Source organism: Homo sapiens, chromosome 21 (assembly GCF_000001405.40).
Source record: "Homo sapiens chromosome 21, GRCh38.p14 Primary Assembly".
NCBI lineage: Eukaryota > Metazoa > Chordata > Mammalia > Primates > Hominidae > Homo > Homo sapiens.
In genome coordinates, this window is record NC_000021.9 from 34,668,755 (window position 1) to 34,684,810 (window position 16,056).

Here is a 16,056-nt window from a genome sequence, read left to right on the forward strand (position 1 = left end):
GGGTGTCGGGGTGTGTGTTTGGAGGGGGTGATTTAAGTGACTCTGGAACTTGAAGCCATTCTAGAGAACAACACCCAAGCGGCCAGGAGAACCAGAATCTTTTCATCAACATCCACAAGGGTCACGAGAAAGGCTGTCATTGGCCAAGCTCCTAGGCTACCCAAACAAAGGAGGGAGGAGGGGAAGACAAACCCCGCCCAAGCCCCAGGGGATGGAGTTGGCACCAAGGACTTCTGGTCAACCCCAGGACAGCGGACAGCGGGCCGGGCACTTCCAAAGGCGCAGGAGCGAAGCAGCCCTCTCCAGCCGTGCACTGCACCTCCGCGGCCCGCGGGCGAGATTGGGGTCCCGGTGGGAAGCAGACGCGCAATCGGGGAGAAGCTCCAGCAGTGGAGGAAGAGTCCAGGGAGTTTCAGCTGGGCAGAAGGGGCGCAGAGGCTTGGGGCCAAGCGGAGTTTGCCCTGCGGGTCCTGCGCAAGGCCCCAGTGCCCCGGCTAAACCTTTGCCGCAGGATCCCGGAGCCGGCGTCCTTCAAGGAGCACAGAGGGCCCCGTAGCACGCCCCTTGCCCAGCGCCACCGACCCTTAAGCAGCGTCAAGGAAGGAGTCCCGATCAAGGACAGGGATCTGCGGCCATGGCCGAGGCCGCGGAGCCGGAGGGGGTTGCCCCGGGTCCCCAGGGGCCGCCGGAGGTCCCCGCGCCTCTGGCTGAGAGACCCGGAGAGCCAGGAGCCGCGGGCGGGGAGGCAGAAGGGCCGGAGGGGAGCGAGGGCGCAGAGGAGGCGCCGAGGGGCGCCGCCGCTGTGAAGGAGGCAGGAGGCGGCGGGCCAGACAGGGGCCCGGAGGCCGAGGCGCGGGGCACGAGGGGGGCGCACGGCGAGACTGAGGCCGAGGAGGGAGCCCCGGAGGGTGCCGAGGTGCCCCAAGGAGGGGAGGAGACAAGCGGCGCGCAGCAGGTGGAGGGGGCGAGCCCGGGACGCGGCGCGCAGGGCGAGCCCCGCGGGGAGGCTCAGAGGGAGCCCGAGGACTCTGCGGCCCCCGAGAGGCAGGAGGAGGCGGAGCAGAGGCCTGAGGTCCCGGAAGGTAGCGCGTCCGGGGAGGCGGGGGACAGCGTAGACGCGGAGGGCCCGCTGGGGGACAACATAGAAGCGGAGGGCCCGGCGGGCGACAGCGTAGAGGCGGAGGGCCGGGTGGGGGACAGCGTAGACGCGGAAGGTCCGGCGGGGGACAGCGTAGACGCGGAGGGCCCGCTGGGGGACAACATACAAGCCGAGGGCCCGGCGGGGGACAGCGTAGACGCGGAGGGCCGGGTGGGGGACAGCGTAGACGCGGAAGGTCCGGCGGGGGACAGCGTAGACGCGGAGGGCCGGGTGGGGGACAGCGTAGAGGCGGGGGACCCGGCGGGGGACGGCGTAGAAGCGGGGGTCCCGGCGGGGGACAGCGTAGAAGCCGAAGGCCCGGCGGGGGACAGCATGGACGCCGAGGGTCCGGCAGGAAGGGCGCGCCGGGTCTCGGGTGAGCCGCAGCAATCGGGGGACGGCAGCCTCTCGCCCCAGGCCGAGGCAATTGAGGTCGCAGCCGGGGAGAGTGCGGGGCGCAGCCCCGGTGAGCTCGCCTGGGACGCAGCGGAGGAGGCGGAGGTCCCGGGGGTAAAGGGGTCCGAAGAAGCGGCCCCCGGGGACGCAAGGGCAGACGCTGGCGAGGACAGGGTAGGGGATGGGCCACAGCAGGAGCCGGGGGAGGACGAAGAGAGACGAGAGCGGAGCCCGGAGGGGCCAAGGGAGGAGGAAGCAGCGGGGGGCGAAGAGGAATCCCCCGACAGCAGCCCACATGGGGAGGCCTCCAGGGGCGCCGCGGAGCCTGAGGCCCAGCTCAGCAACCACCTGGCCGAGGAGGGCCCCGCCGAGGGTAGCGGCGAGGCCGCGCGCGTGAACGGCCGCCGGGAGGACGGAGAGGCGTCCGAGCCCCGGGCCCTGGGGCAGGAGCACGACATCACCCTCTTCGTCAAGGTAAAGCTCGCTTCCCTCAATTCTTAGGACGACCCCCTTCCATTCGAGGTCTTGGTCATCTCAGATCCCAGAGGGACGCGCAGGGAGGAACCCTTGGTGGTATCCTGATTGTCATCAGGCGCTTCCATGCGCGGGCGGTAGGCGGGACAGCCGGGATTTCCCGGAGAAGAGTTTCCAGGGCATTTGCGGGAGGACTCAATGGTTTGGAAGCAAAGACTTTGGGGGTGGGGGCGACGGGGAGTGCGATGGGGGCCAATGAGGATGTGGGGTTGTGGGTTCAGCATCCCACTGTCCTTTGACCTGAACATCCTAACCAGCCCTCCTAGTCAGGAGGTTATTAACGAATTAACTAAAAAGTTAAAAAAAAAAAAAAAAAAAAAGAAGAAGAAGAAGAAAAGCAACGCACCCTATTGGTGTTCAAAGGGATTTCTGCCAAAGGAAGCTTTAATACTTGAAGCCAAAAAACGCAGACAGGTAGGTTCAATGTGGGAGGTGCCTTCCAGACTCAATCTCGGAGACCCAGAGCTGGTCAATGTTTTCAACTCCAAAAAGGTATTCCATTTTGGTAGAATCAACAATGTACGTTTAGGGGGGAATGGAGCCTTATTGACATAATGTTTTTTGAACGTTTTAACATTGAATTTGGAAGAATACAAGATGCCGGTGACTTGAACATCATCTGCTTGTATGTCATGTTTTTAACCTCAGTTCACATGGGAAGAGAGCAAGGATTCTGTGAAGGAATCTGTAGAGACACAACTGAGGAAGTTTTGAATTTAAACAGGAATTATTTACAAGGCATGAAAAATGAAAGAACAAAGCTCAGCAGCAGTTCACACCAGGATCTTTGTTTAAAAAGCCTTTTCTGAGGACCTTTGGCCAGACCCAGGAAAGTTGGAGATAATAAGGTCAAGAATGTGCATTTCATGTTGAATCATAATCCTTCAGAAATACTTCCAGGCTTATAGAAACCAGTTACCATCTAAATCTCTCTGGCTGAAATGCAAGCACATTTTAATAAGTAAAAGGAAATGCTCCCAATGTGATTAACATCAGAATTTTAAGAATTGTTTGGGTGGCGAGGGGCTTGGGAAAGAAGGGGTGTGTGTGTGTTTCTTCCCTAGTGAGAAGGTGCTGTTTCTGGCTTTTTTCAAGACCCTGGGACATAACCTCAGGACACCAGCCCCTGAGAGGCTGCTGGGAAGAGCTGGAGCGCAGTGCTGCTGTGTGACCCCAAATCTGCTCCTCTCCATCACCTTGGTTTTAGAAATTTCCCGTTGCTGTGGTTGTAAGGATACATGATTCTGGCACACGGCCTCTTAGCACAGTTTTGATGGACAGTAGCAGCTTCTGGCTAGTCTCCCTGTTTCAGTTCTCTGTCCTCTCCAATCTAGTCTCTTTGTAATAGCCAGTGAGCTGCGGACAAGATCTGATCATTTTATTTCTTTGTGTAAAATTCTTCAGTTGTTTATTGCAGAATTTCAGGTAAATCCCCACTCCTTAGGCAGCCCACAAGGCCCTTTGTGATGTTATTTCTGCCTTCTTTCTTTCTGGCCTTGGCATTGCTGGGTGTCCCCACCCTTTGTTACCTGTGGTCTCGCTATGCCACCTGGATTAAACTACTTACTGTTCCTTGAGGGAGCCACGTTCTTTCCTGCCTTGAAACTTTCTACATTATGTACCCTCTGTCTGAATGGAGTTTCTCCTCCTCGCCCCTGTCTGCCCTCCTGCCTAGTTATCTGCCACAAGTCCAAGAGTTAGCATGGATGTCATATCTTCCAGTCCCAGTCGGATGACCCTGTTAAGGCATTGCCCTCAGCCTGCTATGTCTCTTTCCTCAGCTGTGTGAAATTCATCATTCTATCTCCAGCGCAGAACACAGGTGTGGGATGTGGTGAAGGCTTGAATGGGCGGCTAGCTGCTGGATAGTGTGGTGATCAAGAACACGGACTTTAGAGCCAGTGGGTCTGGGATCAAATCTTGGCTTTGCTAATTTCTTGCCGTGTGACCTTGGGCAAGTTACTTAATCTTTTGGTATCATTGTGGTCTCATTGATAAAATGGGGACGGTAATAGTACCTAGCCCTTGAGGTTACCGTGAGAAATTGAGAATTAGATTACACAAAGCACTTAGAAAAGTGCCTGGCTGGAAATAAGCTTAGTACACATGTGAGTTCCTATTGTTACATCTGTGCTGCTCGCATAACTTGCACTGATTTTGCACAGAAACAGTTATCCCTGCCATTACTTATTTTATTTATTTTTAGGGAAAATCCCTCTAGGTACGTAATTACCTCCAATCTCTAGGGATAAGAATGTTGTGAAAAGTAAAAACAACTTGCTTCCTCAAATACTGCTTGGGAGGAGTTTGTGTGGGCAGAAGCATGTGGCCTAGCACCAGCAGCGGCCCAGCACGAGCAGCTTACCCACAATGCTTTATTCTGATGATTGATCTGGTGCTCAGTTGCTAACTTTTTTTTTTCTTAAGGAAACAGATAGATCTCCAAATGATGAGATTGGTTAACTTTTTTATTTTTTTTTTAATTGAGACAGGTTCTTGCTCTGTCACCCAGACAGGAGTGCAGTGGTGCTATCTCAGCTCACTGCAACCTCCACAGACTGGGTTCAAGTGATTCTTGTGTCTCAGCCTCCTGAGTCGCTGAGACTACAGGCATGCGCCACCACGTCTGGCTAATTGTTTTGTGTTTTTGGTAGAATGGGGTTTCGCCATGTTGGCCAGCCTGGTCTCAAACTCCTGACCTCAGGTGATCCACCCACCGTGGCCTCCCAAAGTGCTGGGATTACAGGCTTGAGCCACCACACCTGGCTGAGATTTGTTAACTTCTGAGGGGTCACTTATCATGAGCCTCACAGTATTGATATTGTGTCTCAGTTTCTTCTTATCCTACCAATTATGCTCTTTGAAAACAAAATGAAACAAAAACAAAAAAGACAGACATCAAAGCAAAAAACAAAACTAAACAAACAAACAAAAAAACACCCTTTAGACTCATATTTTCTGAGTTTGAAATACTTGATGTAAAATCTGGAAATTAGTTCAGAATAGGATTTCTTTGCCAGAATTAGCCTTTTCTAGGCTCCTTTTTTGGGCTCAGTTTTGTCTGGGTTCTATTCTACAGTGGACACCTGAGCTGGGTTTTGTGAACATGCCTAGATGCGTCTTCATGGTGGGTTTTGTATGGCATAGCTGGAGTGTGGAATTCACAGCTGGGTTTAAAGGAAAGTACTGCAATATTCTCTCAAACATTCTCCTAGCCTTCATATGACAGCTGAGCAAACACATTTTAAAATCAGTTAGCCCATATTTTATTTGGGAACTCCTAGCTTTCACATTTCTTCCAATTTTTTTTTTGAGACAGGGTCTCACTATGTTGCCCAGGCTGATCTCCAGCTCCTAGGCTCAAGCAGTCTCCCTGTGTCAGCCTGCTGAGTAGCTGGGACCACAGGCACACACCATTACACCCAGCTAGTTTTTTCAAAAAAATTTTTGTAGAGACAGAGGTCTCACTTTTTTGCTCCAGAGGGTCTCGAACTCCTGGGCTCAAGTGACCCTCCCACTCTGGCGTTTCAAAGTGCTGGGATTATAGGCACAAGCCACCATGCCTGGCCTCTCTTCCTATTTTGTTAAAAATAAATATATTGGTTACAAATATACCAGAAAGTCATGGCTAACTATGTAGTAACATGTAATAATAATTGTCCCACATTTGCTTCTAATTAGCCATCTAATATATTCTCCATCTTTATGAGAATTGTCATGTTATTAATTTGTCAGTTTGTTTTATTTTACAAGCATGCAAGGATGCATTCTTGTACAGAAGCCAGGAACATATAGAACCAGCCAAGAAAGGTCTTAAATTATTTTGTGGTAAATTAATTGCTGATTATGCTAATTTTTAGTTTTGTTTTCTCAAAGAAGTGTTAATTATTTGTCATCAAATTATAGGGTAACTCTGCAATATATTTAGTAAGAAAGGTTCTTTTTCTTTCCTCATAATAACAAAGGGTAACAACATAATCACATAATCACACAACAACATAATAACAACAGGCAAAACACTAGCAGCAGAGAGTTAAGTAAGAACTTCATTTAAGTAAGGAGTTCAGCGGTAGTGGAGATTTAGTCGCCAAGGAAGTCTTGCTTACGGCTTTGGTTCCCCTAATCTGGCGTGTAAGCTTTGAGTCAGGGTCTTTGGGTGGGACAGTCTGAGCTACGGCTTTCCTGGCAAATTTGACATGACTTAAAAAACTTCAGTGTTGACCAGTGATTAGTCCTGGGCCACCCAGGATTTAGACACCACCTGTTTACTTGTAAACATGCAGTTATTGCTGAGCTAAAAAAACTTGCATTTGTATTCACATTTGGGTTCTCCAAAGAGGTGAAACTGACCCGATGAAACACAGTAAAACTCAAGAAGGACATGGCCTTTGAATAAGCACTGTCACCCAGAAATGAGCCCCCGCCCCTCCAAAAAAAAAAAAAAAAAAGAGCCTTCCAAGCATTGCCATACCACAGGGCTGGGCAAGAATGAGCCAGGACCAGCGTCTGATGGACTCCTGGTAGAACGGTAAGCTGTGGCTCTCTGTGGACATGTCACTGGGAGAGAGCATGTTGGGACTTGTTCTATGGGGCTTGGTCTCCAGGGAGCTTGAAAGGGAGATGTTATTTTCACAACTATGTGTTCTGAAGGAAAGTGAGCAAAGATGCATTTCTGAGACTTTAATTCTCCCCTAAAAACAAATTTTTTGTAATTTTTTTTTATTGTCTTAGAAAACCTGCCTACAAATTACACATATGAAATCAGTACCGGGTTACTTGGGGGTGGAAACAGGTGGAGCATGATGTTTTGCGTAACCTCTTGCATACAAACAGGTGCAGGTGTGCACATGCATGCTGGGGGTGGGGATACCCCTGCCACACTCAGTGAGAGCCCTATCGTCATTGCCTCTCGGTTCTCACCACCTGCCACTGCAGTGGGCTCATGGCAGGCCCTCCACTGTGCTTTTTGGTGCAGATAAATAGTGGGTCGGGTGGATGGCTAATTGGTAAGACACAAGCCCAGTTCTCCACTGTCCCAGCCCAGTGTCCCTTGTGAGAGAAACAGAGCCACCTTTTTCCATGAAGGCCTCTTGGCAGCAGGGTTACAGGATGCTGGTGGCTTTGGGAATTTGAAGCTCTTTCCTGCCATGTGCACACATCACAGCTCCCGTCTCTGTCTGGGCTGACAGGCCATGTGGCTTCATGAGAGCAATTATGTTTCTTTACCTTCAGCACGGGTTCCTCCCCTCACATGGGGTTTCCTTTGTGTCCTTGGTTTCACACAGCCAGCCTTTGTCGGGCCGACTCAGATATCCCATTTCCTTGAATATCTAAAGACCCACAGAAAACCTTCAGAAATACTACACTGGGTCCTTTAGTCATGTGAATGTATTGTGTCCTTTCGGACACCTAGATAAAACCTAGAAGTGGAAGGAGTATGTAAAAGCCAACACTCCAATCCATGCTTGAGGGCTCAGAGGGATCCTCATGCTATGGGTCCATATATTAATTCAATACATATGGATATATTACCTACTGTGTGTTGGACTCTGTGCTAGATTCTGGGGACACATTGGTAAGCAGGACTGACAAGCTTCTTGCCCTCCCAGAGTTTACCATCTAGCACAGAAGACAGACATTGGGCAATGTAGTACATTATGTCTGTAGCATCTCCACTGGGCTGCAAGCCTGCACTGCAAAGACCATGTAGTTTTTCCCATCATTGTTCTTTCAGCCCTTTGCATGCTGTTTGACACATAACAGCCAGCCAGTTAATGATGGTATGAAGGGAAGGGGGATGGACGATGAGCAGCAGGCCATAGGAGCATGCAGCAGCAGCAGGAGGACCTGCAGACACAGTGGTAATCACTAAATAGTTGTTGATTTAATTACATTTGGGGAGACACAACCATTTTCCTTTCCAGTCCACAGAGTAGTGGGATCCTCTGATAATGCCTAGTATAGATTCTTCAGGATTTTCTAAAACAGGTGATCTTTGGTCTATCATTCTCTGAACTCCTGTCATATTAGTAAAGAAAAAGTTTTTGTGAGAGTTATAAAGGTATTCAAATCTTCTAAAATTTTCCAGCATTAATTTTGTTTTTTTTTTTCTGCCTGAGTGTTGATTTATAAAGTGGGCCCTATATCTGGGCATAGTTGGGGGAGACATTTTCTTCACAATATAGAGAGTTTCCAAAAGACCACCCCCATGCTTTTTGTCAGCCCTTTTCTCCTCCCCACAGGGAGACGGTATCCAAGTCCATCTTCGGCTAAAATCCGTGCTTGTATTGACAGCCCCACTTCCTCCTTCTGAAAGCAGCATTTTAATTTGGAGCTGTTGGTGCTTAGGTATAAAATCTATTTCATTTAATGCTGCTATGAAAATTTCCCAGTTTTGAATTTAAGACAGTCTCTTATTGTTTTTTCCTGCTCTTGCATGGGGGACCATCTGCTCTGCCAAGCTTTCAAAACTTTGCTCTCAAGTTAGGTGGCAAATGGGCTAACAATTTGGTATATGTTAAGAGCTTGTTATAAAGAATACTTTTGCCCCAGCTGGTACTACAGTATGGTATTTAATGTTGAAGAGAACACCATTAAGAGTGTGTTCAGCTGCAATTAATAAACTATCCAGTAGCAAGTGCCTTTAATCAGAAATATATTTTTCTCATACAACAAGAAATCCAGAGATAGGTGGATAAAGCATCTTACCCATGTCATCAAGGGCTCAGATTAGTTCCTTGTGTTCTGTCTCCCTGTATCATCAAAAAATGGATGCCTTAGTCTTAAGCACCAAATCCTGACCAGCAATATCTCAAGTAGGAAACTAAAGGGAAGGGTCAGGATTTTTCTTCTTATTCCCATTCCTCCTTCATCAGGGAGGAGAAATGCTCCTGACAACTCTTGCAGCAGACTTTTCTGTGTCTAATGGCTAGAACTGGATTCTGTGCCCCAACCCCCTCCAGGCCTTTTACAAGCACAAGGGTATGAGACTGGCGTATATATACCAGGGGTTAGCAAACTGTGGCATGCAGGTCCTATCTAGCCTGCCACCTGTTTTTGTACACCTACAACCTAAGAATGACTTATGTTTTTAAATGGTTGGAAAACATTAAAAGAAGAATAATTCATGACTCATGAAAAATATATGAAATTCAAATTTCAGGGCCCATAAACAAACTTTTTTTTGGAACCCAGCCATGCTTGTTCTTTGATGTATCCTGTATGACTCCTTTCACTTTCAACAGCAGAGTTGAGTAGATGCAACAGAGACTCTGTGGACCACAAAGCCCACAATATTTATTACTGGGCCCTTTAAGAAAAAGTTTCTGGCTGGGTGAGGTGGCTCACGCCTGTAATCCCAGCACTTTGGGAGGCTGAGGCGGGCAGATCACGAGGTCAGGAGATTGAGACCATCCTGGCCAACACGGTGCAACCCCGTCTCTACTAAAAATACAAAAAAAAAAAAAAAAGTCACCCGGGCGTGGTGGCGTGTGCCTGTAGTCCCAGCTACTCAGGAGGCTGAGGCAGGAGAATGGCGTGAACCCAGGAGGTGGAGCTTGCAGTGAGCCGAGATTGCACTCCAGCCTGGGCAAGAGAGAGACTCCATCTAAAAAAAAAAAAAGAAAAAGTTTACCGATTCCTAGCTTATACCTACTTTTATTCATCATCTGGGGCTAGATACAATGCCATTCATACAAAATTGGAGTTCGATTTAGAAGGAAAAAGGATAACTGTTGTAGAAGAAAGAACTGGCAGGTTCTTTCACAGTGAATAAGAAATATTTAAGACACTAAACATCTATATATTGTTAGAAATGGTTGTTTTTTGCCTACAAAAACCATAAAAATTTTGATTTATATAAAGTCAACATAAAATGTAGGTTAAATGTATTTATACAAATTTTAGTATAACATATTTATGTAGTCCATGGGATTATTTTGTAAAATTTACTTACCATTTTTTTGGAAAAGATAATACATTGGAATAGTAAAATTTAGAAACATAAAAAGATATAATATAATGAGAATTAAGTCTTCTTTCGCCCATGAAGCCCAACCTCCCAATTTTTCTCCCTAGAGATAACCACCAAATATTTTTCCAGAGATATTCTATGCAAGTTCAAACATATCCTCAATGTATTATCTATTTCTGTGTAACAAATTGTCCCAAGACCTAGAATCTTAAAGCAACAAACATTTTATATTATTCATAGTTTTCCAGGGTCAGGAATTTGTGAGTTGCTTAGATGGGATTTTTGAGTTGCTTAATCTGTTCTCACGCTGTTGTGAAGAACTGCCCAAGACTGGATAATTTATAAAGGAAAGAGGTTTAATTGACTCACAGTTCTGCATGGCCTGGGAGGCCTCAGGAAACTCACAATCACGGCAGAAGGGGAAGCAAACACATCCTTCTTTGCATGGCAACAGGAAGGAAAAGTGCCAAGTGAAAGGGGAAGCTCCTTATAAGCCATCAGATCTGGTGAGAACTCACTCACTATCACGAGAACAGCATGGGGGAAACTTCTCTCATGGTTCAATTATCTCTACCTGGTCTCACACTTGACACTTGGGTATTATTACAATTCGAGGTGAGATTTGGGTGGAGACATAGCCAAACCGTATCATTCCACCCAGGCCCCTCCCAAATCTCATGTCCTCACATTTTAAAACACAATCATGCCCCTCCAACAGTCTCCCCAAAGTCTTAACTCATTCCAGCATTAACCTAAAAGTCCAAGTCCAAAGTCTCATTTGAGATAAGGCAAGTCTCCTCCACCTATGAGCCTGTAAAGTCAAAAGCAAGTTAGTTACTTCCCAGATACGATGGGGGTACAGGCATTGGGTAAATACACCCACTCCAAGTGGGAGAAGTTGGCCAAAACAGAGGGGCTACAGGTCCCATGTAAGTCTGAAATTCCACAGGGCAGTCATTAAACCTTCAAGTTCCAAAATGATCTCCTTTGATCCCATGTCTCAATCCAAGTCACACTGATGCATGAGGTGGGCCCCCATGTGGCCTTGGACAGCTCCACCCCTGTGGCTTTGCAGGGTACAGCATCCCTCTTGGCTGCTTTCACGGACTGGTGTTGAGTGTCTGTGGCTTTTCCAGGTGCACAGTGCAAGCTATTGGTGGATCCACCATTCTGGGGGCTGGAGGATGGTTGACCTATTCTCACAGCCCTACTAGGCAGTGCCCCAGTGGGGACTCTGTGTGGGGGCTCTGACCCTACATTTCCCTTCTGTACTGCCCTAGCAGAGGTTCTCCATGAGGGCTCTGCCCCTGCAGCAAACTTCTTCCTGGACATCTTGGCATTTCCATATATCCTCTGAAATCTAGGCAGAAGTTCCTAAACCTCAATTATTGACTTCTGTGCACCAGCAGGCCCAACACCACTTGGAAGCTACCAAGGCTTGGGGCTTGCACCCTCTGAAGCAATGGCCTGAGTTGTACCTCGGCCCCTTTTAGCCATGGCTGGAGCAGCTGGGATGCAGGGCACTAAGTCCCTAGGCTGCACACAGCAGGGGGTCCTGTGGCCCATGAAACCATTTTTCCCTAGAAGACTTCCAGGCCTGTGATGGGAGGGGTTGCCACAAAGGTCACTGACATGCCCTGGAGATATTTTCCCCATTGTCTTGGTCATTAACATTCAGCTCCTTGTTACTTATGCAAATCTCTGCAGCAGGCTTGAATTTTTCCTCAGAAAATTGGTTTTTCTTTTTCTATCACATCATCAGGCTGCAAATTTTCCTAACTTTTATGCTCTGTTTCCTCTTGAATGCTTTGCCACTTAGAAATTTCTTCCACCAGATACCCTAAATTATCTCTCTCACATTCAAAGTTCCACAGATCTCTAGGACAGGGGCAAAATGCTGCCAGTCTCTTTGCTAAAGCAAAACAAGAGTCACCTTTATTTCAACTCCCAATAAGTTCCCCATCCCCATTTGAGACCAACTCAGTCTGGACTTCATTGTCTATATCACTACCAGCATTTTGGTCAAATCCATTCAACATGTCTGTAGGAAGTTTTGAACTTTCCCACAGCTTCCTGTCTTCTGAACCCTCCAAATCTCTAGGAAGTTCCAAACTTTCCCACATTTTGCTGTCTTCTTCTGAGCCCTCCAAACTGTTCCAACCTCTGTCTGTTTTCCAGTTCCAAAGTAGCTTTCACATTTTCAGGTATCCTTATAGCAGCATCCCACTCTCTTCAGTACCAATTTACTGTGTTAGTCCATTCTCATACTGCAATAAAGAACTGCCTGAGACTGGGTTATTTATAAAGGAAAGAAGTTTAATTGACTGACAGTTCCGCATGGCTGGGGAGGCCTCAGGAAACTTGCAATCGTGGCAGAAGGGGAAGAAATCATGCCCTTTTTCACATGATGGTGGGAAGGAGAAGTGCTGAGTGAAGGCGGAAGCCATTTATAAAGCCATCAGATCTCATAAGAACTCACTCACTATCACAAGAACAGCATGGGGGAAACTGCCTCCATGATTCAATTATCTCTATTTGATCCTGCCCTTTACACATGGTGATTATTATAATTCAAGGTGAGATTTAGGTGGGAACACAGAGCCAAACCTTATCAGTTGGGTAGTTCTGGCTCATGTGGTTGCAGTGAGGATGTCAGTCAGAGCTGTGATCTCATCTGAAGGATTAATTGGGGCTAGGGCTGTGGTTTCATCAGAAGGATTGATTGGGGCTAGGGCCATGGTCTCATCTGAAGGACTTATTAGGGCTGGATAATCCACTTCCAAGATGGCTGGCTCACATGTCGTTTGGCAGGAGGTGCAGTTAGTTTTTTTTACCACTTGGGCCTCTTCATAGGACTTCTTTAGTGTCCCCACAACATGGCATCTGGCTTTTTCCAGAGCAATGATCTAAGAGAGACCAAGGAAGAAGCCATAATGCCTTTTATGACTTTGTCTCAGAAGTTACATGCTGTAACTTCTGCCTTATTTTATTCATTAGAAATATGATCACTAAGTCCAGTCCTCAAGGAAAGTGGAATTAGGCTCCACCAATTAAAAGAAAAGGCAAAGAATTTGTGGACAAATCTTTAAAATACCACATCTACTTTTTTTTCCACAAAAAATAGTACACTGGAAATACATTGGTTTACATCTTGCTTTCTTCCCTTAACAATATGTCTTGGAAATCACTCCTTATCAGTGCCTCTAGCTCTGTCACATTCTTGTGAAAAATGTCATAGTATTCTGGTGATGTGTATACTCTATAATCATTTTCTTGTAGGTAGTTGTTTAGGTAGCTTCCTCTTTTTGATATGTTAAATAATGGTGTAGTGAATATCCCTCCACAGATGCATAATAATATATGGGAGCTAAATTCTTAGAAATGGCATTGCTACGGGAAAGGGTGTGCATATTTAAGATTTTGATAACCATTACCAAATTTCCTCTTCAAAGAGGTGATACCATGTAATGCTCCTCTGACACTATATCAGTGCCATGCTTATTTCCACAAACTTCTCTGCTGAGGTATTATCAAATATTTTGAATCTGAGAGGTGAAAATAATGTCCATTGTCATGTAATTTGCATTTCTTTTATTATGTGTGAGGTCGAGTATACTTTTATATATTTAAAAAGTATATAAGTATTCTTTTATATATTGATATTTGTTTTTCTGTGAGATGGCTGCTTATATTCTCTGCATTTTTCTTATGGGCTTTTGACCTATTCTTTCTGATTTTGATGTTAAAGAAGTTAGACTTTTGTCTGTCACATGTGTTCCATATATTTTTATAAGAGTGTGCTGACTGTTTGCACTTGAAAATGTATCCTTTTAGTCTTAGTAATTTCTTGTAATTGATGCATGGGAAAGCAAAGTGTGGATGATGATGGCACTCTTAGAATCTCCAACTTCATTCATTGACATCTTTAAAGGTTGCTTTACTTTATACTCTATAACCTCTTAAATCCTGAAGAATCAGGTATTTCCAGTCCTACCCCTTTCCCTCCATTTTTTTTTTTTTTTTTTTTTTTTTTTTGAGACGGAGTCTCGCTGTGTCTCCCAGGTTGGAGTGCGGTGGCGCGATCTCGGCTCACTGCAAGCTCTGCCTCCCAGGTTCATGCCATTCTCCTGCCTCAGCCTCCCAAGTAGCTGGGACTACAGGCGCCCGCCAACACGCCCAGCTAATTTTTTGTATTTTTAGTAGAAACGGGGTTTCACCGTGTTAGCCAAGATGGTCTCGATCTCCTGACCTCGTGATCCGCCCGTCTCGGCCTCCCAAAGTGCTAGGATTACAGGCGTGAGCCACCGCGCCTGGCCCCCTTTCCCTCTATTTTTAATTAACAGGTACATTTTATCAAGTGTATGCCCTTTTAGAATGAAACTCCATGTGGCATGGTAAGAATCCCTTTTCAAAACAAAGTTTAAACTGTACAGACAGGAGGATCACTTCATGCCTATATCACCCCATCTTCAGATGTAAGATATATCGCTTTGATCTTTGCATAATATCTACTGAAATTTATTTGATTCCCATAAATCAAAACCATTGTGAAAATATCACCTGTGATGCAGTGATATAAAAATATTGCCTCTGAGGTTGTGTCTCTTGGCCAGATATTCTATTTGTGCTCCAGTCTGTTGAAAGAATTGACCAAAATTTATAGAGAATGAGGAGATCCAGAGAATTGTGGAGGACAATGAAGCCTACCTATAGCTTATGTTTACGGAGTGGGAGGGTGATATGGTTTGGCTCTTTGTCCCCACCCAAATCTCATCTCGAATTGTAATCTCCACATGTTGAGGGAGGGATGTGGTGGGAAGTGATTGGATGATGGAAGCAGTTTCCTCCATGTTGTTCTCATGATAGTGAGTGAGTTCTTATGAGATCTGATGGTTTAAAAGTGTGGCACTCTCCCCTATCCCCACCCTGCTGCCATGTAAGATGTGCCTTGCTTCCTCTTCACCTTCCACCATGATTGTAAGTTTCCTGAGGCCTCCCCAGCCATGTGGAACTGTGAGTCAATTAAACCTCTTTTCTTTATAAATTACCCAGTCTCTGGTAGTTTTTATAGTAGTGTGAAAGTGGACTAATACAGAGGGAGAACTGAAATGCTCAAATATCAAAGGTTGTTTGAAAAAATAATTTTGAAGCTTTTGTGGAAAACACAGACTCTGTTGACATATTCCAGATTTTTACTAGGTTTGTGGATTTTATCCCTCAACTCACTGTTTCTCTTCTTTTAATAGTATATGGCTGTTCACATAAAAATAAGTAGGGAGAAGTAAACGCTGCTTTTTTTTTTTTTGTCCTTCACACTACCAAGTGCTGTTTTGCACCCAAATGTATATTTTAAACAAATATTTATTGATTACCTGCCAAGTAGCAGACATTGTGCTTGGGGCTGGGGGTGTAACAGTGATTAGAACAAACACAGCCCCTGCTTTTCTGGAGAACTTCAGCCTAGACAGTGATCCAGAAAGAAACAACTACTATGCAACATGAGGAAGAGGACCACAGGAGATTGCTGGGCCGGGTGGGAAGAGCAGGCTGGCAGGCTGGGCAGTGACAACAGTCTAGGGGAAAGTTAGATTCTAGATCTCTGACCATGAGGCCTGGCCCCCTGCCATGTGCCTGTCTATTTGGAAGATGAATCAATTTATCCATCTATCTGCACAACAGATGGATGTATGAATGACAGCCATGTAGAAATAGCTACTCTGTCAGGTGGTCCATTTTTAATTATACATTTTGTAGAATGTAATTTTATATTACTATCCATAAGTTCTTTTCACCTAAGCCAGTGATGTCTCAGCAGCCAGATTGTGTTTACAGACCTTGACTTTGAGCACAGTAACTTTACAACTATTAAAGCTCTATGGCACATGAAAGATTATTTCCTTCTTCCTCTTTCTACGGTAGGAGACTACAGTGAGGAGTGTAAGTGAAGGCCAAAATGAGGGAGAGGAAAATAAATCACTGTAATTATAGTACACAAGCAAGGAGGACCTGGAAATGT

The 16,056-nt window shown here is 46.1% G+C and overlaps 1 protein-coding gene across 2 annotated transcripts in view, besides 3 other annotated features; it reads left to right on the forward strand.

The window, feature by feature from the left end:
- Positions 1-239: 239 nt before the first annotated feature.
- Positions 240-16,056, forward strand: part of CLIC6 (chloride intracellular channel 6) — a 49,230-nt gene continuing 33,413 nt past the window's right edge. For both annotated transcript variants that reach the window (NM_001317009.2, NM_053277.3), the window contains exon 1: positions 240-2,008. In NM_001317009.2, the coding sequence (NP_001303938.1) occupies positions 635-2,008 (1,374 nt within the window). In that variant the 5' untranslated portion in view covers positions 240-634. The remainder of the gene's footprint in view (positions 2,009-16,056) is intronic.
- Positions 533-972: a silencer, noted in NCBI's record as "silent region_13271". NCBI's record gives its function as "represses an Ori minimal core promoter by ATAC-STARR-seq in GM12878 lymphoblastoid cells {active_cell/tissue: GM12878}" and the evidence as "EXISTENCE:reporter gene assay evidence [ECO:0000049][PMID:35858748]".
- Positions 1,873-1,952: a silencer, noted in NCBI's record as "silent region_13272". NCBI's record gives its function as "represses an Ori minimal core promoter by ATAC-STARR-seq in GM12878 lymphoblastoid cells {active_cell/tissue: GM12878}" and the evidence as "EXISTENCE:reporter gene assay evidence [ECO:0000049][PMID:35858748]".
- Positions 15,896-15,955: a silencer, noted in NCBI's record as "silent region_13273". NCBI's record gives its function as "represses an Ori minimal core promoter by ATAC-STARR-seq in GM12878 lymphoblastoid cells {active_cell/tissue: GM12878}" and the evidence as "EXISTENCE:reporter gene assay evidence [ECO:0000049][PMID:35858748]".